We start from the raw sequence: 24,757 nt of genomic DNA, 5'->3' as shown, positions 1-24,757 counted from the left end.
CCATGGCCTTTGTCTGAATTTGGATTCTATATTATTATAGTGTCTCCCATTCCCTAATTTAATAGAGGCATTTTAGGGACTATTTCATTTAGTGTACTCAGGAGTCAACTTGACCTTCCCTGGGTTGGTATTTGGTTAGATTCTTGTCACAATATACCCTCAAAAGAGGCCTAGAAAAGGATGATTTATCCTGAGGCCCAAGTTTTGCTCTTTGGTGTTAATCATTACTTTTCAACTTTACTTTGCCTGAAGTTTAAATCTTTCTAGTTGAGTTCATATTCCTTGACATTTTATTTTCCATGTTCAAATGGGAAATAAGGCGTAGTTGGTAGGGCTACAGGGACTCATGAAATTCACAGTCTTTTGGTCATATGTAAACATAGAATTTGCTTCCCTTCCTGTAAATTACTACCTTTAAAAGCAGGTGAATTAAGGAAATTTTCCATTTTCATAGTTTCATGATTTTTCTTTCTTTTCTATTAGCAAAGTAACTTTTTTAGACTTGAGGGAGATCAATGATAATTCGCCACCTAAGAAAGGAAGCAATTATTTTTCTAAAGTTAGAATTCTCTGATGATAGTATATTTTTAACTTTTAACCGTATATTAATAGATGAGCTTCGTGTTTGGACTTTATAGTACAAAGAAGGTATAACAAAGGTGCTACTATTGTAGTTCTTTGGGTGGCGTGCCCTTTATCTCAAAATGTGTTTTCACATTAAATTTTAATTTTTAGTCTATAGTCTCAGATACATCAGATAGCAAGTTTTGATGGGGGAAACTAGGAAAAACTACAGTAGAATTTCCTTTTGCATAACAAGTATGTTTCTGAGTTTTGCAGTTATAGAACATCGATTTTGGCCTCTTGTTGTTGATATACTGAGCAAATTTCTTTTTTTTTTTCCTGTATATTTTCTTGCTTGTATGGAATAATATTTTCTGTAGTGTTCTTTGGAAGAAGATTTAACAATAAGACTTTATTAAGTTATATAAAAAGCAATCCAAGAAGTGAAATGCTCCTGGGAATAACATACATTAATTTTCATAGTATGTGCTTTCTCATAATATCCAAATGTTATCATTCTATGCTACTGTAAAGAATTTACTGTCCCATTGTTGATAGATAAAAGAATAGTGCAGTATGGTGGTTAGCAACATGGACGTTGTGATCAAACTGCCTGCTCTTTACTGGTTGTGTGAGATGGGGTCTCAGTTACTCATCTGTAAAGTGGAGGATAATTACATTATTTTCCTTACAGAGTTATTTTCATAATTGATATGAAAAATTAAAAAGGCTTAAAATAGTACCTGGCACACAGAAAACACTGTAAAAACAGTAGTATTAATAGTTCTAATAGCAGTTCTTCATGTCTTTCTTTATATCTACTTGATCTATGCTGTTTTTGTGTTTTACTATGAAATAATTTTTGTCTTCATTTTTTCGGTATCTCAGTAGTCATAAACATGCTACCTAGTAATTTGCTTGTTTTGTATCAGCATTCAAAAAGAGAAAATGACAAAATTACTTTTTGAGGAAAAGTTTGTATTTTAACCTTATTGGCTTTTTAACAAGTTTTTCTTACACAAATGTAGTTTTGAGATTTCTATTCATAATAATCTTTAGGTCAGGTATATTTGTAAGTCATACATTTTAAGCTAATAATTTACTTTCATTTTTCTACTAATTTCTATTATTGGTCATTGATATCTAATGGTGATAAATCTAGATCATAGCTTTGCATTTTTCATAAACCTTGTGTTTCTGTGTGTTTGGGATTTTTACCCATATGTTTCTCTCTTATTCCCATAGTATTTTTTGTTTGTTTCTAGTTAAGCCTTCCTTGTACCTTTCTCTTCAGTGGATTATCCATTAATGTGTCTGAATCTATGTTTTTCATTGCTTGTTCCATTTGCTTTATATTTTCTTCTGCCTCAAAACTGTAGCAGTAGCATTAAGTGTAATGCTTGGTACAACTTATTTATCACAACACTCAGATGAAGCTAATATGAGGCTTAGTGAAATGTGGCGTGAACAGCATCACATTCTGTTTAAAGTTCTGAATTTTAAATTGCCAAGATCTTACAAATCTTACATTGTAAATGACTAATACTCAAGAAGGGTGCTCCTTTGATTAGCCTCCCTCCTTCACCCCTACGCCTTTTCTCCCTCTTCCAACTTATCCTTTTATGCTAGATCATTCCTATTAGTGTGAAGACATGCCTTCATATGTCCCATCTTACAATGAAATACAACAAACCACCCAAAGAAATATCCTTGACCTTGTGTCTCCTTGCAGCCACTGATCTATATAGCAAAATATGTCTATACAAACTGTCCTCAGTTGCTCACCCGTATTTACTCAACTCACTTTGATTTGACATTGACTTTATAATTTTGTCAGAACTATTCATCCTGCTCATCGCTAGATCACTTGTAACTTCCATGCTAATGAATCTAGTGAATTCTTCTCTTTTCTCATCTTACTATAACTGTCAGTAGCATTTGATATAGGGGACCATTTTTTTTTTTTTCCTGTGTGAAAAATTCTCTTCATTTCTGTGTATCACACACTCTTATTGCTGCGGTTTCTTTTTCTTTCTTTCTTTTTTTTTTTTTTCATTCTCTAGTCAACCTCTGAATGTTGGAATACTCAGGATTTAGTCCTGGACCCAGGACCAAGGATCCTAGGTTTCTGTGCACTCTACTCTTAATTTATTACACTTAAACATTTGCCTTTAAATATCATTTATATGCTAGTAGATGCCCCCATTTATATCTCTAGCCCAGACCTCTCTTTTCAGCTACCAAACCTATATATACACCTGCCTTCTGACATCTCAATTTATACATTTCTCACTTAAACATGTTGAAAATTGAACTCTTGGGTCTCCCAAACCTCCTTCTACAAAAACAAACAAAATACATCTTTCATTTCTGTCTCATTAAGTGACCCAACCGTCTCTTTAATTGCTTAATTTTGAAAGTCATCATAACTTTTTTCTGTTTTTTTAAACAATAGTTGATCTTTATTATAAATAAATTAACCAATGCAGAAAATTAAATATAATGAAATTCCTTGTAATTCTAAAACGGTCATTATTAACACTGTGGAAAATCATTCTAGGCATCTTTCTGTACATATACAGACAGAAAGATATGCAGATATATAAAAATAAATTCTTTTATAAAAATAGAATTATAGTACAGTTGCCACTTTAAATTTGAACTGAATTTTATAGGAAAACAAAAAAAAAGAAGCCCCAGTGTGAGACTGAAGGAATTGCTGAATTTCAAATAACTGTTTTTTCTCTCCAGGGGTCATTATTTTCGAAGAGATTCCTCTAAGGTAAAGAGAAAACATTGTGTAAAACATTTCAAGAGGTTTGAGTGTGATTTTTCACTTTTGGACAGTACTGATCAACTCTGCTATGATAGATGAAGACATTCATGCTCTTGTCAGCTGCCCACTTCCCCTGTCCTCACCTGTGTTAAAAAGTAGTTCCTTTGCCCATTTCCTAACCCACCGTCATGAGTCAGAGACCCTATCTTCCTCCCTCTCCAGGAGTGTGATTAAGCAATAAGCTAATCTGCATTTTTCAGTGTAGTTACCTAATATGTGAAGTGCCTTTTATGTATGACTACACAGTAAATTTACAATTTAAAAATGTACTCTTCTATATTTACTCAACCAGTATTTATTGAATACGTATTCTGAGCTACAGACTGTGCTAGTATGGGGAATGCAATGATGAGTGAATCAGATGTGGTGCTCATTCTCTTTAACCTTGTTATCTAGTGAGGAGTAAGATAATTAGTTAATCGAAGAATGTGAAGTAATTAAGGCAGAAAAGAAACATGTTCTTATAAAGCCCTCACCCATCTTTTATCATTTTAAGTTACTGGCAATTCTGGACACCATTGTGTGTCTTACCCTAATGTATCTCTACCTTTCCTGTGTACAATAGTTCCTACCCTTCCTTAGCCTGAACTAATGCTCCGAGGAGGTTAGACTCCTTATCTCCCTCAAGGACAAAACAGCATTTATTCCTGCTTCTGTACTTGTTTTTTATGTCTTGACTACTGTCTTTGCTTTTGTCTACTTATACAAATTCAACCCATCCTTCAACACAAAGCTTGCTCTATGAATTACTTATAGCCCATTCTGATCTTGTCTTCTCTTTGCATGCCTCTTGCCTTTATGGTCCTTCCCACAGATTTAATAGTTAATTTATTTCTTCTTCTGAATAAAACTTCAGTTTCCTAAGGGAGTATTATTTTCTTCTACTTTCGTGTCTACCACATTGCCAGATCGTTTTGAGTTATTTGGTTAGCATTTATTTGTTAAATCTGCTGACTGATTAAAACAGTTGCCTGGAAACTTTTGATACTGCCCAAGGCTTAGCAGCTTAAACTTTTCTTAACCATTTTTAGTAGGTTTAGAGTAATGTTATATTCCTTCTTGGACATTTTATTTCAAAACAAAAGCTGTAAATATCGTGGGGAAACATTATATCATCATTTAACATTAATAGTTTTCTTTATATCAAACTGACCACATTAAGTTTTATTATAGGCTGTGGAATTGCAGCTTTTTTTTTAACTTTGAATTATCTTCAATGCTAAAGATGTACTTAGTTTTAACAATTTAAATCTTACGTAGTAACTCTTAGTTAAATATATATTAAAATTTAACATGGTTTAAAAATGTTAATATTGTCCTTCTAAAACCTATTTCTTCTTTGCTCATTTGAAACTATAATGTGGCCTATTTATTGTTAATTTTCTTAAAAACAAAACTTGGGAGTCTATACTTACAGAACAGCCTTTAAAATTAATCATTTGCCATTTGTTATTATTTTATATTTACCCACCAACAGTAAGTTTTATATATAGTACAATGAACAGGTTTATGCATCATTAGCTTCTTTGTTAAAAAAGTCTGACCTCTGAGATGACTTTAATATGAAAAGTTAAAAATTCATATTTGTTTTAAAAATTAGTGTAATTAAAAGCAGTTTGGTTATTTTAACAAGTAACAAACATAGCCAAATGTTAGTATTTCATCACAACAAATCACCAAATTATTTATTTCCAGTGACCCAGTTGCTAACTAGACTTAAATGTGATTAACCTTAGTAACAAGAAATAATCTCACAATTACCTCTTGTAATCTTTTTTTAATATCAGAAATTAGAATATAACATGATGACAAAACCATCCATATTTTAGATTTTATATACACATGTATACATATATACATATACACACACATCTAGAATTTATTTTTTCAAGTTAATAATAAAAATAATAAAATGATCGATTACTGATTGAAGACAGTAACTAATTCAAAATTCTAATTTAATCAAACAATTCTTGTTTACATAGAAAAATTCAAGAATGCTGAAAACAAAAGGAGAAAGCAACACTCATTACCCTACCTCTTCATGGTAACCACTGTTAACCCTATTATGCTCATATTTTGATCTTTAGCTACAGATTTTTTTTTGAAAAATAGGAGTGTTATTGTTTTGAGACTTCCTTTTTTACTTCAGTATTTAAAATTATCCATTCACACCTATAAATATTAATCTGTATCATAATTTTAAAGGATTAAGTAATATTCCAGTACACGATTGAATCTCAATTTTCTGTTTTTACACACGTAGGTGTTTTTTTATTTTTAAATATCTATGGATAAATATCTTGATGTTTATAATTGTTGCTCCACAACAAATCTGTAGAAATACACTTGCTAAGTCAAAGGATAGGCACATTTTCCAACCTTATGTATTTTTATCTACACCCTTATTATGATTTAATTTTCTTGAGCTCTCTGTAGCATTTTATATTCTGCCTACTTAATGAAATGTATTCCTTTCATTTTTGTTCATTCATTCAGAAAATATTTATTGCGTCTTTGCTAAGTGCCATACTTTCTTAGATACAGTCTTTTTGGCAGCATCAGTGACTTTATTCTCTTTTATTTTGGGATTCCTTTTGTGTCGTTCATTTTTGCTAATTCTTTATTTTCCTCCTTTATTAAACTTTCAATTTGAATTGTCTCCTAGAGTTATGTCTTTAGTTCACCCTCCATTTTATCTACAGTGCCTTCGATGATCACTTCTTTTTTTTATTTTTTATTTTTGAGACAAGAGTCTCGCTCTGTCGCCCAGGCTAGAGTGCAGTGGCGGGATCTCGGCTCACTGCAAGCTCCGCCTCCCGGGTTCATGCCATTCTCCTGCCTCAGCCTCCCGAGTAGCTGGGACTACAGGCGCCTGCCACCATGCCTGGCTAATTTTTTGTATTTTCAGTAGAGACAGGGTTTCACCGTGTTAGCCAGGATGGTCTCCATCTCCTGAGCTCGTGATCCATCCATCTCGGCCTCCCAAAGTGCTGGGATTACTGGCATGAGCCACCGTGCCAGGCCGGTCACTCTTTACTGACTACCCCTATATCTGTATGTCCAGCCCTAAGCCTGTCCTGAGCATATTTGCAAGTTTTATGTGGCATTTGGATCTGTGTATCATGCAAGCTCCACAAACTCAATATGCCCTGTATTAGTCAGAGTTCCTTAGAGGGACCAAACTTATAGGATACATATATATGTGTGTGTGTGTGTATATTATATATATATATTATATATATATATAATATATATATTTATATATATTATACACACATATATATAATATATAAAATATATATTATACACAAAGGGATATGTGTATATATATTATATATCTACAAAGGGGAGTTTATTAAGTATTAACTTACCTGATCACAAGGTTTCACAATAGGCTGTCTGCAAACTTGAGGAGCAAGGAGAGCCGGTCCAACTCTCAAAACTGAAGAACTTGGAGTCCAATGTTCAAGGGCAGGAAGCATCCAGCGCAGGAGAAAGATGTAGGCTGGGAGGCTAGGCCAGTCTCACCTTTTCATGTTTTTCTGCCTGCTTTATATTCTCTAGCAGCTGATTAGATGGTGCCCACCAGATTAAGGGTGGGTCTGCCTTCCTCAGCTCACTGACTCAAATGTTAATCTTCATTGGCAGCACCCTCACAGGCATACCCGGGATCAGTACTTTGTATCATACAGTCCAATCAAGTTGACATGCAGTATTAACCATCACAAGTCCACCTGTTGTCAGCTTGAACCCATACACATCTCCTGAGATTATACATAATCTTCAAATAAAGACAATAATAAGATCATAATTACGCCTAACATAATACAGCTATCCTTCTTACACTCAGAAACGCCTCAATCCTGAACCCAAATACTATTACATGAAGTTAACAATACTTAAATGCTGATATGAAGTCAATAAATCTTATGTCACATGATAAAGGAAAAGGAAATAAAATGAAGATAATGTCTTAGTACAAGTGTATACAATCACAAACATGTTTTTAACAAAAGGAGGAGGAAATACTCATGACAATTACAGTCCTCTTTTCTGTAGCTGGTCACGTGGTCGTAACTGGTATTGATGACTACCTTCTCCTACTACCCATTCTGTATTCCCTTTGCCTTCAGTACCTCAGGAGGTCATGGTTTTTTTCTTGGTGAAGTGACCCAAACCTTCATTCCTGAGGGGTCTGGACCATTTGTAGTCCTGCCTGGATTGGGCTGTTGTAGTTTCCCATTGACCTTAATCACAGGGCATGGTAATACTAAGAGATGCCCTAATGGATCTCCTGTATTCCGTACATACTCTTCCTTACATTCATTATGGAGTAGTAGACTGATTTCGTCTTGATAGTCTGGGTCAGTCACCCCAGTGAACACTGTAACTCCCTTCTTAGTCTGTTGACTTAAATGTAGGAGAAACCCAAAGTATCCAGGTGGCAACCTTAACTTCCAGTTTAATGGAATCATTGTTTTGTCTCCTGGTGGCAATGTTCCTCCCTCTGGAACTAAGACCTCTAGGCCAAGAGAATGTAATCTTGTGGGAACAGGAGGCAAACATTTTGCTAATGGATCACTAGGGGTGATGGTGAGTGGTGCTACCTCCACTTCTACTCCTTAATTCCTGGAATCATGAATCCTGGCTATGGCAAAAACAGTATCATATATTGGATGCTGATTCAGAGCACACGTGGCCTTCTGTAGAATTTGCCCCAGCCCTGCAAAGTATTGTTACCTAGTTGACATTGTATTTGTGACTTCAAAAGGCCATTCCACCCTCCTATCAATCAATCCATCTGCTTCAAGATGATGAGGAACATTGTAAGACCAGTGAATTTCATGAGCATAAGCCACTGCCCTGCTTCTTTAGCCGTAAAGTGAGTGCCTTGGTCAGAGGCAATGCTGTGTGTAATACCATGATAGTGGATAAGGCATTCCATGAGTCCACGGATAGTAGTCTTAGCAGAAGCATTGTGTGCAGGATAGGCAAACCCATATCTGGAGTAAGTGTCTATTCCAGTGAGGACAAACCTCTGCCCTTTCCATAATGGAAGAGGTCCATTGTAAGCAGCTTGCCACCAGGTAGCTGGCTGATCACTCCAAGGAACGGTGCCATATCAAGGACTCAGTGTTGGTCTCTGCTGCTGGCAAATTGGGCACTCAGCAGTGGCCGTAGCCAGGTCAGCCTTGGTGAGTGGAAGTCCATGTTGGTGATCCCATGAGTAACCTCCATCCCTGCTACCATGGCATCCCTGCCACAGTGGCCACTTTGTTCATGGGCCCGTTGGGTGATGACAGGGGTGGCTGGGGAAAGAAGCTGAATGGTGTCCACAGAACGGGTCATCCTATCCACTTGATTATTAAAATCCTCCTCTGCTGAGGTCACCTGTTGGTGAGCACTCATATGGGATACAAGTATCTTCATGGTTTTTGACCACTCAAAGAGGTCCATCCACATACTTCTTCCCCAAATTTATTTCTCACCAGTTTTCCAATCATGTGTCTTCCAAGTCCCTTACCATCCAGCCAAACCACTGGCTACAGCCCATGAATCAGTGTATAATTACACATCTGGCCATTTCTCCTTCCATGCAAAGTGCACAACCTGGTGCACTGCTCGAAGTTCTGCCCACTGGGAAGATTTCCCTTCAACACTGTCCTTCAGGGATGTGCTAGAAAGGGGCTATTAGTGCTGCAGCTGTCCACTTTCAGGTGGTGCCTGCATATCGTGCAGAACCATCTGTGAACCAGGCCCTAGTCTTCCCTTCCTCTGTCAACTGATCATAGGGAACTCACCATGAGGCCATCTGTGCAAGCTGGGGGAGAGAAGGCAGGGTGGCAGGAGTGGAAATTAAGGGCATTTGAGTCACTTCCTCATGTAACTTTCTTGTGCCTTCAGGACCTGCTCGAGCCCGATCACATATGTACAACTTCCACTTGATGATGGAATGCTGCTGTGTATGACCCACTTTATGGCTAATGGGTCAAAAAGAACCCAGTTCATGATAGGCAGTTCAGGTCACATGGTGACTTGACCCACAGTCAAACATTCAGTTTCCACCAAAGCCCAGTAACATGCCAAGAGCTGTCTCTCAGAAGTAGAGTGGTTATCTGCAGAAGATGGTAGGGACTTTCCAAAATCCTAGAGGCCTCTGCTGTGATTCACTTATGGGGGCCAGCCAAAGGCTCCAAACAGCATCCCTATCTGTAACAGATATCTTAAGCCTCATTGGATCTGCTGGATCATATGGCCCAAGTGGCAGAGCAGCTTGCACAGCAGCCTGGACCTGTTGCAGAGCCTTCTCCTGTTCTGGACACCACTCAAAACTGGCAGCCTTTCAGGTCACTTAATAAATGGGCTGGAGTAACACACCCAAGTGAGGAATGTGTTGCCTCCGAAATCCAAATAGGCCCACTAGGTGTTGTGCCTCTTTCTTGTTTGTAGGAGAGGCCAAATGCAGCAACTTATCCTTCACTTTAGAAGTAATATCTCGACAGGCCCCACACCACTGGACCCCTAGACATTTTACTGAGGTGGAAGGTCCCTGAATTTTAGTTGGATTTATTTCCCATCTTCTTGCAGACATATGTCTCAGCAATAATTCCAGTGTGTTTGCTACTTCTTGCTCACTGGATCCAATAGGCATAATGTCCTCAGTGTAATGGACCAGTGTGATATCTTTTGGAAACAAAAAGCAATCAAGTTCTCTCTGGGTAAGATTATGATATAAAGCTGGAGAGATATACCTCTGAGGTGGGACAGTAAAGGTATATTGCTGGCCTTGCCACTGAAGAAAAATTGCTTCTGGTGGGCCTTATGGACAGGAATGGAGAAAAAGGCATTTGCCAAGTCAATGGCTGCATACCAGGTACAAGGAGATGTGTTAATTTGCTCAAGTAATGAAACCACATCTAGTACAGCAGCTGCAGTTGGAGTCACCACTTCGTTAAGCTTACAATAACCCAGTGTCATTCTCCAAGATCTGTCTGTCTTCTGCACAGGCCAGATGGGAGAGTTGAATGGGGATATGGTGGGAATCACCACCTATGCATCCTTCAAGTCCTTCATGGTGGCACTAATCTCCGCAATCCCTGCAGGGATGTGATACTGTTTTTGATTTAGTATTTTTCTAGGTAGAGGCAGCTCTAATGGCTTCCATTTGGCCTTTCCCACCATAGTAGCCCTCACCCTACCAGTCAGAGAGTCAATGTGGGCATTCTGCCAGCTTCTAAGTATGTCTATGCCAATTATGCATTCTGGCACTGAGGAAATGACCACAGATGATTCTGGGGACCAACTGGACACACTGTAAGTCAACGTGAGCTAAAACTCCGTTAATTACCTGACCTCCATAAGCCACTACTTCAACTGGAGTACCACAGTGATGTTTTTTTTTCCCTGGAATCAATGTCAGCTCAGAGCCAGTGTCCAGTAGTTCCCAAAATGTCTGATCATTTTCCTTTCCCCAATTCACAGTTACCCTCTACATTGCTGAAGGTACAAAGCTGAAGGTCTCTTTAGGGAAGGATGGGAGAAATATTCACAGCCTAGATTGTTGGTACTGAAGTGGGGTGCTTCCTCAGGGGGACCCAGTCTCTCCTTCACTTAAGGGGTTCTGGGTCTGTAAACTGGCTCCAGTCTGGAAATTGATTGAGGCGCTGTGATTCTCTTTTTATAATTCAAATTAATCTTTTGTCCATTTGACCTAAAAGTTTTCTGCTAATATAAATTAAGCAAGAATGCATTAGGCTTCCCGACAATTTCACTTCTGAAAACACTGTGATTAATTAGTTAATGTCAGAGCTCTACATGAGTCAGACTGTTCTGTTTGCTGCTTTGTTTCTGTTGTCCATTACGGTAGCTAGGCCCACCTTGCCTTTGATGGTTGAGTGCCACCACTTGGCCCTTGCCACATAGGGATCCAATTATTCTTATTGTATTTAAATTTTGTAGTTGAATGACTTCAGTTCCCACTGTTAGACCTGACATACAGAGAAGAACAATTACAGGGCTCTTCAAAGATTCAGGTGCAGCCCTCAAATCTATTTCACAAGGCAGTGGTCAAGGGTGTATCTTCTGGACCCTCCCAACTGGGATGAGTAGGTCTAGTTACTAATCCACTCCACCATCTCAGTCTCCCTAAGATGTTGGATCCCCTCCTCTATGTTAAACCAAAGGAGATCAGTCATATCCAGCTTTCTCACAGTGGGCCATCATTTAATCTGTATTTCAGCTAATCAAGCAAATAGACTGTTAGACCTTTTTTAACTCCCTGAGCTGCAACATTAAATGCAGAGTCCCTACTTAGTGGACCTAAATCAATAAATTCAGCCTGATCCAATTCTATGTTCCTCCCACCATTTTCCCATACCCTTAATATCCATTCCCATGCCTGTTCTCCAGATTTCTGTGTATAGAGATTGGAGAACTCAAGCAGTTCTTTTCTAGTGTAGTGCACCACCTCTTGGGTCACAATCTCAATCTCACCTCTAGAGGCCTGCCAGGACTTTAGTTATATGTCTAGAAGTAAACAGGGGTGTTGGAGGTGGCTCCTGAGGAGAATCAACATTATTTTCTGGGCAACTGTCTCAGGGGAGGCCATCATTGTTGTCTTAGGTAGCACAAGGTTTGTCTCCTCAGACAAAGATGGAAAGACTGATGGCAGCATGGGTCAGGGAGGAGATGTTGCCACTACTGGGGATGGGGAAGCTGTTTCTTTTGGCAAAAAAGTTTCATCTGAGTTTACAAACTCAGTGTCCTCAGCTTCATCATGGTCCTACCACACATCTCCATTCCAAATTGCAGGGTCCCATTCTTTTCCAATCAATGACCTCACTTTAACAGTAGATATCTGGTGAGGCTGTGCATGCACATTTTGTTGCAGGTCAGCCACTGGCATAAGAGCTTGCATGTGTTTTTCTACAGTTTCATCTCTTTCTCTACAGGAAATAAGCCACTCACTATGGGCAATCTTAGCGGATTTGAGCCTCAGCTTCTGAAGCCAGGAGACAGAATCCCAGAGTTCATCATTTTCTTTCATTACTTTGTCCACTGAACTTAGGAGCAACCAACCAACTTCATTATGTTCCTTGGTTCTCCACATATGGTCAAAGGTATTATGTAGAGTCACTAAACTCCTTTCCTCTCATGAGAGGTGAATCAGGAGTGTCAAATCTATTTATTTTATGTAACTCTCTAAACAGTTCATGCCAAGGAATATCAGTGTTCTCCATACTATTACAAGTAGAGTCCTTAGCATTTTTGGATCTGAACATATTAAGCAGCCAACTCCAGAAACCCCAAAACCAATGAAAGAACATCCTTAATATTCTATTCCTTTAGAACCATTCCTGGTACCAAAATATGTATTAGTCAGGGTTCCCCAGAAGGATAGAACTAATAGGATATATATATATATATAAAGGGTAGTTTATTAAGTATTAACTTACATGATCACAAGTCCCACAATAGGCTGTCTGTGAGCTTGAAGAGCAAGGAGAGCCAGTCCAAGTCTGAAAACTGAAGAACTTGGAGTCCAATGTTTGAGGGCAGGAAGCATCCAGCACAGGAGAAAGATGTAGGCTGGGAGCCTAGGCCAGTCTCGCCTTTTCACGTTTTTCTGCCTGCTTTGTGTTCGCTGGCAGCTGATTAGATGGTGCCCACCAGATTAAGGGTGGGTCTGCCTTTCCCAGCCCACTGACTCAAATGTTCATCTCCATCGGCAACACCCTCACAGACACACCAGGATCAGTACTTTGCATCCTTAAATCCAATCAAGTTGACACTTAGTATTAATCACCACATGCCCGAAAACCATACTCTGTGTGTTTACAAAAGCTCCAACTAATATCCAACTGCAGGCAATCCAGAACATTTTCTAAAACACAGATCTGAATTTGGTACATAGAGTAAGTGAGCAGGCCTCCTATAGTCTCCGCTCATTCTTTGCAGAATTGTGTAAATTCTTACACAATTTTATCGGCAAGCTGACCCTGCTCCCTATTTCTCTTCTCCAGATATGGTTGTATGTGTATTGAAAATTGAAAGCTTCCTAAAACTTAAAGTATAATAAAAAATAAAAAATAAAAATTGAAAGCTTCAGATTTGAGGGTGTGGTTACTGTATGTAATTTATGTTCTTCTCTTGATTTTGATAGCAGACAGAAAAGGAATTGCGATTTACATTTCTGCTACTTTTGTGTGTGCCAATCAGAAGGAAAACTTTTATGTTAGGGGAATGAAATGTGTTTGGTTAAGTAAGATACATATGTGTGCACATGGGTGTGCATGCATGTATATAACAAAAATTTCCATATATGCAGATATGTGTATATATCCAAATATATGTATATATGTACATGTAAATGTATATTACATATCCACACATGCATATGTATCTTAACCAAGCACATATACATATGTGTGCATATATATATATATATATATGCATACACACATTGTATTTGCTTAGAGTTTGTAAAAGTATAATTTATGGTGATGTATAGATGGAATTATTTAGACTGTTAATAGAAAAGAAATGTTTTTCTTCCCTGTATATATTAAATTAGTACTAGGAGAAAGTGGCGGGATAAAGAGAAGGGGCTTATGACTGTAGTTGTGAGATAAACCAAGAACATGTTTGGGATTCTTTCAAGTGGAAATGATAGAAAGCTAACACTAAACTTCATAGAATCATTCGTTACCCCAGACAAACGCCTGCCTCCACACATTAATGATGTGATAATATTTTAACAGCAACATAAAAAGTTTATAGTAATTAAGACCAGAGAGTTATCATGTTTCTGGTGAGATTTGGTTTGGGTTTTAAGTAAACTCCTAGAGGATTCACCATATCCAAAATATGTCCCAAAACAGATGAAAAGGCTAGTCCCTCATCTTACAGTTTATTTTATTCCTCCAGATAGTTCAAATAAGCATTTAACATAAAGGAGACACTGATTTTCATTTCCAGAGATAAAATTAGAGGCGGGAAGATGATAGTGAGGAGGGAAGGGAGAGTAGGTAGATGTGGGGTGGAGGTAGAGAGAGTGGGTGTGTAGGGGGGTAGAGAGAGTGGATGTGTGTGGGGGGAAGGGGTATGTGTGCAGAGGAGAGGTGGGAAGGAAGACAGAGGGAAGAACGGTGGGGGGCAGGGAGAGGAGGAGGAGGGAGCATGGGAGAGTAGGAAGAAAGGATAAGGTGGAGGGGGAATGAGGAAAGGATGAGGTGGAGGGGGAAGGAGGGAGGTTGGAACTGGTGGGGAGGAAAGGAGGGAGGTCAGGTGAGAGAAAGAGCGGGAGGCTTGCCGGGAAGTTGGGAAGGAGAGGTAAGGAGGGTGGTGGGGGACGGAGAGGGTCGTGTGTGTGTGTGTGTGTGTGTGTGTGTGTGTGTGTGTGTGTGTGTGTGTGTGTGTGTCTGTATTGGGCTAGGAGAAAGAAAGAAATTATATAGTGTGTGGTGTTTTAAAATCTACCTCTTTGCAGTGATGCTAAATGCCCATTTTCACACTAAAATGGGCATTTAGTTGGGAATGCCCCTTAGTATCTGAAGCAAAACAATGTATCTTGTCCATAATTCCATAATTGGACATGAGGATCAAGTGCAAAATTCTTAGTGTCCTGTCTTACTTAGGGTATATGTTCTGGGCCTAGCAGTCTCTTCAGGACTGATGGGAAAACCCCAGGGAGGGCTCACAGTATGGTTAGTATGAGCTGGTATATGTATATCTTGTCCTTAGACTGCTCTTTTGATTATAACTAGGTTATGCTAGTTGTGTTTTTGGTGCATATTCAAATATATATTGATGTCTCCTGGGTAATGCTGACATGCTATGCAGCTGTGTATAGTGTTATGATGATAAATTAGATGTCTGTAAACTACTTGGGGCTCTAGAATCAAACATGTTACAAGCATTTTTTTCTAGTGCATAAGAAGCCCTTAATTAGTGTATTTACATTTTATAATATATAGATATAACATATAAACATATAAACGTTTATAGGGTCAATATAATGAACATTAATATTAACTATAATAATATTTAATATTTAAATATAAAATTATACTAATACAATATTAATATCATGTAACAATATATTATCTGTTGGAAATGCTCAGTTAGACTCACTGTGTCAGTCTTAATGTTCAGCATGGAAATCCTGTGAGTCTCAGGGCTCTGGACTGACCCTGGTTATAATTCTTTGCCCTGAAGTTCTGATTGAGTATGCTGTGATTTGTTCCTGAGTACGCTTCCATTTTGGGATGTCAAAAATGCCAGTTTCCTATGGTTAAACTGAAATCTTTTACCCAGAAGGAATTTTATTTCAGGTTTTTAATGTAAACAAGATAAACTTCTTTGGGATGTCAAATTGGCATTTGTTTCTTTAAAACAAAATAACTTATTTACCTCAAATATTTTTCTTTATGACAACAATTAAATCATATTAATTCGGTTTTGTTACATTAGAGATAAAATTTAATAAGGTGAAAATAATTTTTTAAAAAAGACAGTTTAGAGCTTAGAAAACAAATATGTTTGTTTTTGTTTTATCTATTGGAGCAAAGGCCAAATAAAGGTCCAGATTCTGTGTGGCTTCAGTTCCTTTCCACTTCCAGCCCAGAGCCCACATTTATCTTTTTGGCAGAGCAGCTAGAGAAGATAATAGTTCATGGTCTGTGTGATGTCTACTAACCACTATTTTTTATTTTTATTGAAGTAATAAATGTACATATTTTAAAAAGTCAAAAAGTATGGGAAGGTTTTTAAGAATGAAGAGTAATCCCCTACTCATTCTACTGTACTCCCAAGTTCCACTCCTCAGAGGCTGCCACTTTTAATTCCTTATTTTGTTTTGTTTTTGTTGGGGGGAGGATTCATCTCCAGGTTTTAAAAATAACACGCTTACACTATCTTGATTTGTTTAACTTTCAGCCTTCATCTCTTATCTTTAGGGATTTAGAAGCTTAGGACTTAGATTTCATTGGCTCTCCTTCTCTCTCTGTTCTATAGTTTTGTCATATTCTTGATTAAATCTCTATTAAAAGCTTCCATTATAATGTCTGTATAAATATTATTTATTGGTAGTTTAAGTAGTATGTTATGACTATGTATCCTTTTTCCTAAAACTTTACTTTCCTTGGAGTTAATAATTACATAATATTTTACATTTACTTTATTTTCAAAGTACATGCTAGTAATATATCCCTAGACTATCCTAAAAATATACTGCTAACCTCTGCTACTGCATAATACTAATATAGTGCTCATTATGTCTCAGGTATTTGTATTGGTTTTATATTTGAGTCACTCAATTTCAGAACAAACTTATGAAGTAGGTACTCTTAATATCTCCTTTGTTTTGTTTTGTTTTTTAAAACAAATGATTCAACTGGGACACAGAGAAGTTAAGCCATTCAATTAAAGTGACAAAACTGGTAGTTGGTATAGTTGGTATTTGAATCCAGATAGACCGGTTCCAAAGAATGTAATGCCTAACCCATATATTGTACTGCTTCACAGAATATATGTCAAGGTGCCCCACAATCATTCTTTCCAATTATGTTTTATAACTACAAGGCTTTCACATTCTTGAGGGCAGGGACAATATCCTATTCATATTTGTGAAAACATAAACTCTCAACCAGCTAAAGGGCATCAGATAATCTATTTTTTTTCCTTTTATCACATTCTTTTGTTCCACTTTGTACTGTAGGACTTTTTTTTTTTTTTTTTTTGGCCCTGAGCATCAGCCTTCATGGGATTTCCCTTCATCATCATCCTGGGAATTTCTTTTCTCTCTTGTGGGTTAGATCCCCTGTTACCTGGGATCCAATTACCTATCTTGGTTTACTCCCTTGTTTTCATGGAGCCACTTTCTCAGTAGGAAGAGATGTACGGAGGAAGTTTTTCAAGGTGGGAATGGGTTGGAGGCTTCCACAATATAATTTCAGGAGCTGAAAAACCAATGGACAAGTTGTAACTGATTTATTAGGCCAGGAAAGCTAAAACCCAAGCTGGCAGTAGGGAAAACTCAGAAGCTACTTATTTGCATATTACAACATTCCAGAGGTACTAGAATTAAGGGCACTACTGAGAATGCAGATGAAAGTAGAGGATTAGGTGAAAGTCTAACCCTTTCAATAATAAGACTAGTTCCAATTATAAGACTTAGTTATGCTTTCAGATTTCCTGCATTCCTACACCATTTAGCTGAGTGACTGTTTTTCTCCTGCTTAAGCAGAACATTGGAGGGTTTTGCCTTCTGAAAAATAATGAATCAGAGATACTAAGTGCCCCTGAGAGAAGGGATACTGTGCTAAAAATGGTTAAATGTTATTCACTGCCAATTCAAAGATATATTATGATTATATTTTATTTCCTTCCCCAATTTTTTTTCTAGAATTAGTAAGGAATCATTTATTCCTATTTCTCATTTGCTTAGTTTTTCTATATATCTAGTGGTAATTTATCCCAAGATTGTTATTACAAAATATAATAATTCAGTACTAATATCTAGTAGTTACAAGAGTGCTTACTGTTGGCAGGACCATTCTAAGCTCTTTGAATATTTTGAGTCATTTAAACCTCAGAGCATTAAAGTTTTAGTCAACAGCAATAGCAGTAACATTCTTTCAGCTAATACAGTGTAATTTTCCTTCCACAACAAAAATGGCCTTACCCTCTTCCCTAACAGGGAAATCTAGAGTCCCATCAGTATTTATTTGGTGGTATTTCTTCTTTGTTACTTTAGTTCTAGTCGTATCTTCATATCCTTTAACCTACAGACTAAATTACAAAATCAACACCCTACGTAAAGCAGGAGAGAGATGGAGAAAAAGGAAATTATAAATTTCCTTTTTAATATATAAATGCTTACTTAACAGAGCAAAGTTTAAAATATGGTTAGTTAGTACAGTCTTTGTCTCTATAAGTGGACGTATGGCTTTAGTGGGTATTTATAACTTTTCCCCTTCTTCCCATTCTGTTTTCTCTTGTAATTCAAACAACCCCACTGGTTAGGATGCTATATATTATCTATATCTAAGTTTTGTTTTTTTATATCTAAAGCTTTGTTATTGAGGTTCTTGAGCCCTTTGTCATCTTCTCTGTATTGGTTTGCGTTAGTCTTCCATCAATTTTTACCACTAGATATGGCAGTACTAGTAGGTGCTACAGAGCATCCCTGGGGCACCAGGCTTTATTTACCTCTGCCTCCATTGCATAGGAGCAGTCTTTCTTTCATTGATAATCATGATCAATTCCTCTAGCCAACGCAGTTAATTTACTCTGCTATTGATTTAGGAATATGAGAAGCTTCAAACATTAGAAGAAAGTTTAAATTTTCAGTTCTAGTAGAAGTACTCTAGTTTGGAATAAGATCTCTAAACCATCAACTTTCTCGCTACGCTTCACAAAGTTAAAGGGTTAGAAAACCAAAGAAAATCATTTTCCCTTCTACTCTTTAGTTCATAGACTCATGTATTACAGGTATAAGAGAAATAACATCATACATTGGTTTCTAGTTCAGAGCATTTTGTGGGACAGCACCTCAGTTTTCCAAGGTGTTGTGTCCTGCGTGATATCCTACTGAGTTTTCAACATGCCATTCCACCAATATCTATGATCATCTGCTTCTGGGAGCTAGGGCACATCATAAGACCAGTGAATATTTGCTCAGTGCCTTACTTTTTTTTATTGTTAAACTAGTTTCTTGGTCAGAAACAGTGTTTTGTGGATGCCATCACCCCTAGAAAGTCCATAGTAAGATAATGTTTGATAGAAAAGCATAGTAGCCAAGGATGTGAAGTTTTGTGTATGGTGTAAGAAGGCATTTTTAATGTAATCACCCTGCCACTAGGTAGCTTGTTGGTCTCCCCAGGGTTATTTACTATCTTCTGAGTCCAGGGTTGGTCTCTGCCTATGGCAATCTGGATGTTCAGTAATAGCTGTAGTCAGATCATCTCTGATAAGGGAATCCATATTGTTCAACTCACAGATATTTCCTATACAAATTTGGCAACCAATCTGGCATTGTGCATTATATGACTTTCTAAAATATAGTTTATATGTGCACAATAGCACTCCATCATCAAGTGAAAGTGGCATTTGTAAGATAAGTTTAAATTAGCCCTGATAACACAAGTGAATTGTATGAGCATATGACTCACATTCACAACGTATACCTCTGGCTCATGGGAAATTTTCTCTAACTAGGTGACCAGAGAAGAAAAACGGTTACTAAATCTGATTTATAGGTTGTATCATATATTAGTACCTGCTAGAATTGGATTACTTTTCAAAGAGGGAAAATTTTGAAGTAGCATATCTACTCATTTACTTTGGAGACAGATGAGACTTCAGGTACTGATTTGTATAGGTTTATGGACCATTGCTAATGGTTGGTCTAGATGGTCAGGGGCTCAGAATTAAAAAAAAAAAACTTACAGAATAGTATGAGAAGATTGGTGGAAAAAAGTATATACATGGTCCTCTGAGAATACATACAGGTTGAGGGAATAATTTTGACTTGTGAATGTTCTTCAAGGGCTTCCTCTTCCTGCAAAGGAGGCAAAATAATCCCTTTCATGGATAGGTCGGCCTCTTTCCTCAGCTGCCCTAGTGCTTGCTTGAATGGGATTATGTGCAAAGTGGCCACGATGGTGGGAGCTCAAAATTATGTTTATCAAATTGAGGATCACAAAATAAGAATAGTTATTTAACAAAGGGAACATAGATTCACTCCAAAATCCTAGAAATCTGTGTGTGATCTCGTATTGCACCTTGTCAGAAGTTCCTGTACTATCCAATCTGTCATTGAAACCATGACCAGCATTGAACCTGCTGGAGTAAAGGTCCAAGTGATAGACTATCTGAACTTGGAGGCTGCATGAGTTTTGTTTTTTATTTGTTTTTGCTGTAGGTCATAAAGTTGACAGAATTACAGGTGATGTCATAAGTAGTTCTGAGCAGTACACCCAAATATTAGAGAAGTTGCTTCCAAAATTGGAAGAGGCTAAAATCGTGCATTATGCCATTTTCTTGGTGGTAGTTAATGTGAGATGTAGCAATTTGTCATGCATTTTACAGGTGATTCTAGGCTACTAGAACTCAGAAACTTTACTGAGATGGCAAGCCTCTCAATTTTTATGGATTACTTACCCTCTGGAATTCTTGTTTTACTAAAGCATATGGAGTACCAGCTACTTCCTGCCCACCTAAGTCCAGTTAATATTATATCACCAATGAAGTAGTTTTTCATCATGACCTCTGGCTTGCTAGGACAATCAAGGCTACCCTAGACCAAATTTTGATAAAATGGTAAAGATACATTGTCCGTGCCTGGTGAAAGTACCTGTTTCTGACATTCACATTTGGCCAAGTCAGTAGTATCTTCCCAGTCATAGAGACTGTGTTGATTCACTCTTGTGAAGAAATTTTTATATTGATGATGTCTTTTGTTACATGTAATGAACAGATACACTATTGTAAAGCTTAAGGAAACCTAAGATCATTGGGCAGATTGAGCAATACTTCCAGCTTCTGTGGTGTATATGGGAAGTTTGTTCCCTGAAGCACATAGTGTGTATTGTCTGTGTTTAGTATTTCAGAGGGTTTTGATAGCAGCCATAAAATCATATGGGTAGTTTTTTTATTGCTGTGAGAAGACTGTTGGAGAAATTCTGCAACTCTCCATTGACGTCTTGTACTATGTTTTTTTCTTTCCAATGGGTATACATACAGTTCATAAATTTTGACCATTTTATTTATGTAATATATTTTAGAGATTTCTGTATTTCTTCACAGAAGGTTTAATTCACTTATTACAAAAAGGGAAGAGAAGATGTAATGATGATAGGTTTCTGTGAAAATTATTTGTGTAAGATCATACTTATGTGTAGCACAAGATGCCTAATAGAAATAAGGACTTGGCCTTCAACACCTGAGGTGAAGTGAGAAAGTTGATAAACCTGACTCAAGGGAGGTGAGACACTTGACTGAATATCACCTCAAGTGTACAAATGCTTTCCTAGTCTTACCAGAAGAGTCTAGATACTTCCCACCTCTAGCCACCTGCCGTGCCTCTAAAGCTTTGCTGCAAGCAAACAAACTGTTATGTCTTTATCATCTTCAAACATCATCCCGTATCCTCAAGGGTACTAGACTTTTGGAGCCTCTGAGAGCCTTAAAATTATAATAGTGGAATAATAGTTGAACACTGCTTAGCATTGTATGAAATAGGGAATAAAGGAACAGCTGGGAATTTTACTGTCTTTCCTTCGGTGTACAGAAACTTCTCTAAATCTTGATAAAAGTAACTTCATAATGCCTACTGTAAGACTGTTTTTGTGTGGGATAGACAGAATTAGTCTATTTTTCTAACTGTGTCCTAAGAGACACATACATAGAGATGCTCTGGTGTATTTACACACACTCACAAACACACACACACACAGTCTGTCTCTTTCTCTCTGTTTTCTGAAATTTCCCTGTTAATATACTGTTGATATCTTTATATAAATTTACTTTAAATGATTTTTAATACTTTATCTTTTTCATTAAAAAAATCTAAAAATACACCATTAAAACTTGTATCCATTTACCTGTTAATTTGGATTTAACACGGATAATTGTTGACTTTTTTTTTCAGCCTGCTTTATATGTGAAATACATACCTGATTTTTTTTCATAATTGGGAAATTTGGGTTGGGGCCAACAAAAATAAAACCTGACAATTTGTTGCTTATAATTCTAATAATAGGAATGTTTTCAGATGTATTTTTCTGGTAATTTTGCTAGATTGGTGGATATAACATAACCTGTATACTTCCATTCACTTTGTAAACCTAGCCTTAATATTATGGTTAAGCAAAATAATAAATTCTGTTACTCAAGTGCTGTTTCCTTCTATGTTTAGTCTAACTGCTAGCTTATACAAATATGCTGGTATAATTAATGAGCCATTAAGTCTGTTTATTAGATGATTACATAATTGAGTACCAAATGGCATTTAGCTGATATCAAATCTTACAGGAATCTTTATACATAATCATGAAAGTATGCATTCTTTTATTAGTATTCTGAGTTTGTTCATTTGTTGCATACCCATTTAGACTTCTTGTTGATATAATATATACTTTTTCTCATTACCTACCCTAGCATAACACTTCAGTTTTTAATGAAATAGTACAAATATAAATATGTGATAAAATATAAACATACAACTTAACAAATTGTTATAAAATAAATACTCATGAAATCTCAATCAAGTAAACAGAGAATTTGCAAGTACTATTTGCATTTGTTGGTCATGACTCTGTCCCTTCCCTCTAATGGTAACAATTATTTTGACTTTTATGATGTTTACTTCTTTGGTTTACTTATATATATTTTACTACCTAGTCATATATTGCTAGACAGTGTATATATTTTTGGGTTTTTACATTTATATGTCATAGTGGTACACATTTTGGGGATATGTGTGATATTTTGATCCATGTATACAATGTGTAGTAATCAAATCAGAGTAATTGTGAACCACCATTTTACTCCCTACTTCCATGAAATCTGCTTTTTAAACTCCCACATGTGAGTAAGAACATGTGATATATGCCTTTTTGTGCCTGGTTTATTTCACTTAACATAATGATGTCCAGTTCCATCGATGTTGTTGCAAATGAGAGGATTGCATTCTTTTTGATGGCTGAATAATATTCCGTTTAGTAAATGTATTACGTTTTCTTTATTTATTTGTTGATGGACACTTAGGCTGATTCCATATCTTGGCCATTGTGGATAGTGCTGCAGTAAACATGGAAGTGCAGATACTTCTTTGATATACTGATTTCCTCTTCTTTGCATATATACCCAGCAGTGGGATTGCTGAATCATATGTTTATTAGTCTGTTCTCACACTGATACAAAGAAATACCTGAGACTGGGTAATTCATAAAGAAAAGAGGTTTCATTGGCTTATGGTTCTGCAGGCTGTACAAGAAGGATGGTTGAAGAGGCCTCAGGAAATCTACAATCATGGCGGAAGGTAAAGGGGAAGCAGGCACATCTTACATGGCTGGAGCAGGAGGAAGAGAGAGAGAAGTGGGAGGTGCCACACACTTTTAAACAACTAGATCTTATGAGAACTCACTATTACGGGAAGAGGAGGGGGAGGAATCTGCCCTCATGATCCAATCACCTCCCACCAGGCTCTCCTCCAAAAATGGGGATTACAATTTGACATGAGATTTGGGTGGGGACACAGATTCAAACCATATCAATATGGTAGTTATATTTTTAGTTTTTGAGGAACCTCCATACTCTTTTCCCTAATGGCTGTTCTACTTTACATTCCCACCAATAGTGTATGAATGTTCCCCTTTCTCTGCATCCTCACCAGCACTTGTTATTTTTTGTCTTTTTGATAATAGCCATTCCAACTGAAGTGAAATGTTATCTTGTTTGGGTTTTGATTTGCATTTCCCTGGTGATTAGTGATGTTAAGCATTTTTTCATATACCTCTTGGCCATTTGTATGTCTTCTTTTGAGAAATACCTGTTTATATCTTTTGCCCATTTTTAAATTGGGTTATTATTATTATCATTATTTGTTACTGAGTTGTTTGAATTCCTTATATATTATGCTTATTAAATTTTTATTGTATGGATAGTTTACAAATATCTTCTCACATTCAGCAGGTTGTCTCTTCAGTTTGTCCACTGTTTTCTTTACTGCACAGAAGCTTTTTAGCTTGATGTAATCTCATTTGTCTACGTTTGCATTGTCGCCTTTGCTTTTGAAGGCTTACCCAAAAAATCTTTCCCTGGATCAGTGTCCTGTAGTGTTTCCCCAGCGTTTTCTCCTAGTAGTTTCATAGTTTCAGGTTTTACATTTAGGTCTTTAAGCCTTTACTTTTCATATGGTGAAAGATCTAGTTTCATTCTTCTACATATGAATATTCAGTTTTCCCAGCACCATTTATTAGAGAGTGTTTCTTCCCCACTGTATGTTCTTGGAAACTTTGTCAAAAAGGAGTTGGCTGTAAGTGTGTAGATTTATTTCTGGGTTCTTCATTCTGTTCCGTTGGTCTGTGTGTCTGACTAAACAATATATTTTAATTTTGTTACTTTTTGAACTTCATTTTAGTTACTATAGCTTTGTAATAAGTTAAAATAACTGATAGAGCAATTCTTCTTGCTTTGGTCTTTTCAAAAATATCTCAGCTATTTTTAGTCCTTTTCTTTCCATATAAATTCCAGAATCAGCTTATCACATAAACCAAGTCGCTGAGATTTTAATTATCATTGTATTGAGTCTAGAGATCAATGGTGGATGAATTGACATCTGCATAATAC

At 36.9% G+C, this 24,757-nt stretch overlaps 1 protein-coding gene across 22 annotated transcripts in view; it reads left to right on the top strand.

The window, feature by feature from the left end:
* TBC1D32 (TBC1 domain family member 32) overlaps positions 1-24,757 on the top strand; it is a 255,236-nt gene that overhangs the window by 129,833 nt on the left and 100,646 nt on the right. Inside the window, exon 24 of one of the 22 annotated variants that reach the window (NR_104452.2) lies at positions 12,355-12,522. The exons of the other annotated variants lie outside the window; for them this stretch is intronic. The gene's annotated coding sequence lies outside the window, so the exon portion shown is untranslated. The remainder of the gene's footprint in view (positions 1-12,354; positions 12,523-24,757) is intronic. 22 annotated transcript variants of the gene reach the window in all.

The sequence above is a fragment of the Homo sapiens genome, chromosome 6, assembly GCF_000001405.40.
Source record: "Homo sapiens chromosome 6, GRCh38.p14 Primary Assembly".
Classification (NCBI taxonomy): Eukaryota; Metazoa; Chordata; class Mammalia; order Primates; family Hominidae; genus Homo; species Homo sapiens.
Note: the sequence above shows the minus strand (reverse complement) of the source record. Positions and strands in the feature narration are given on the sequence as shown.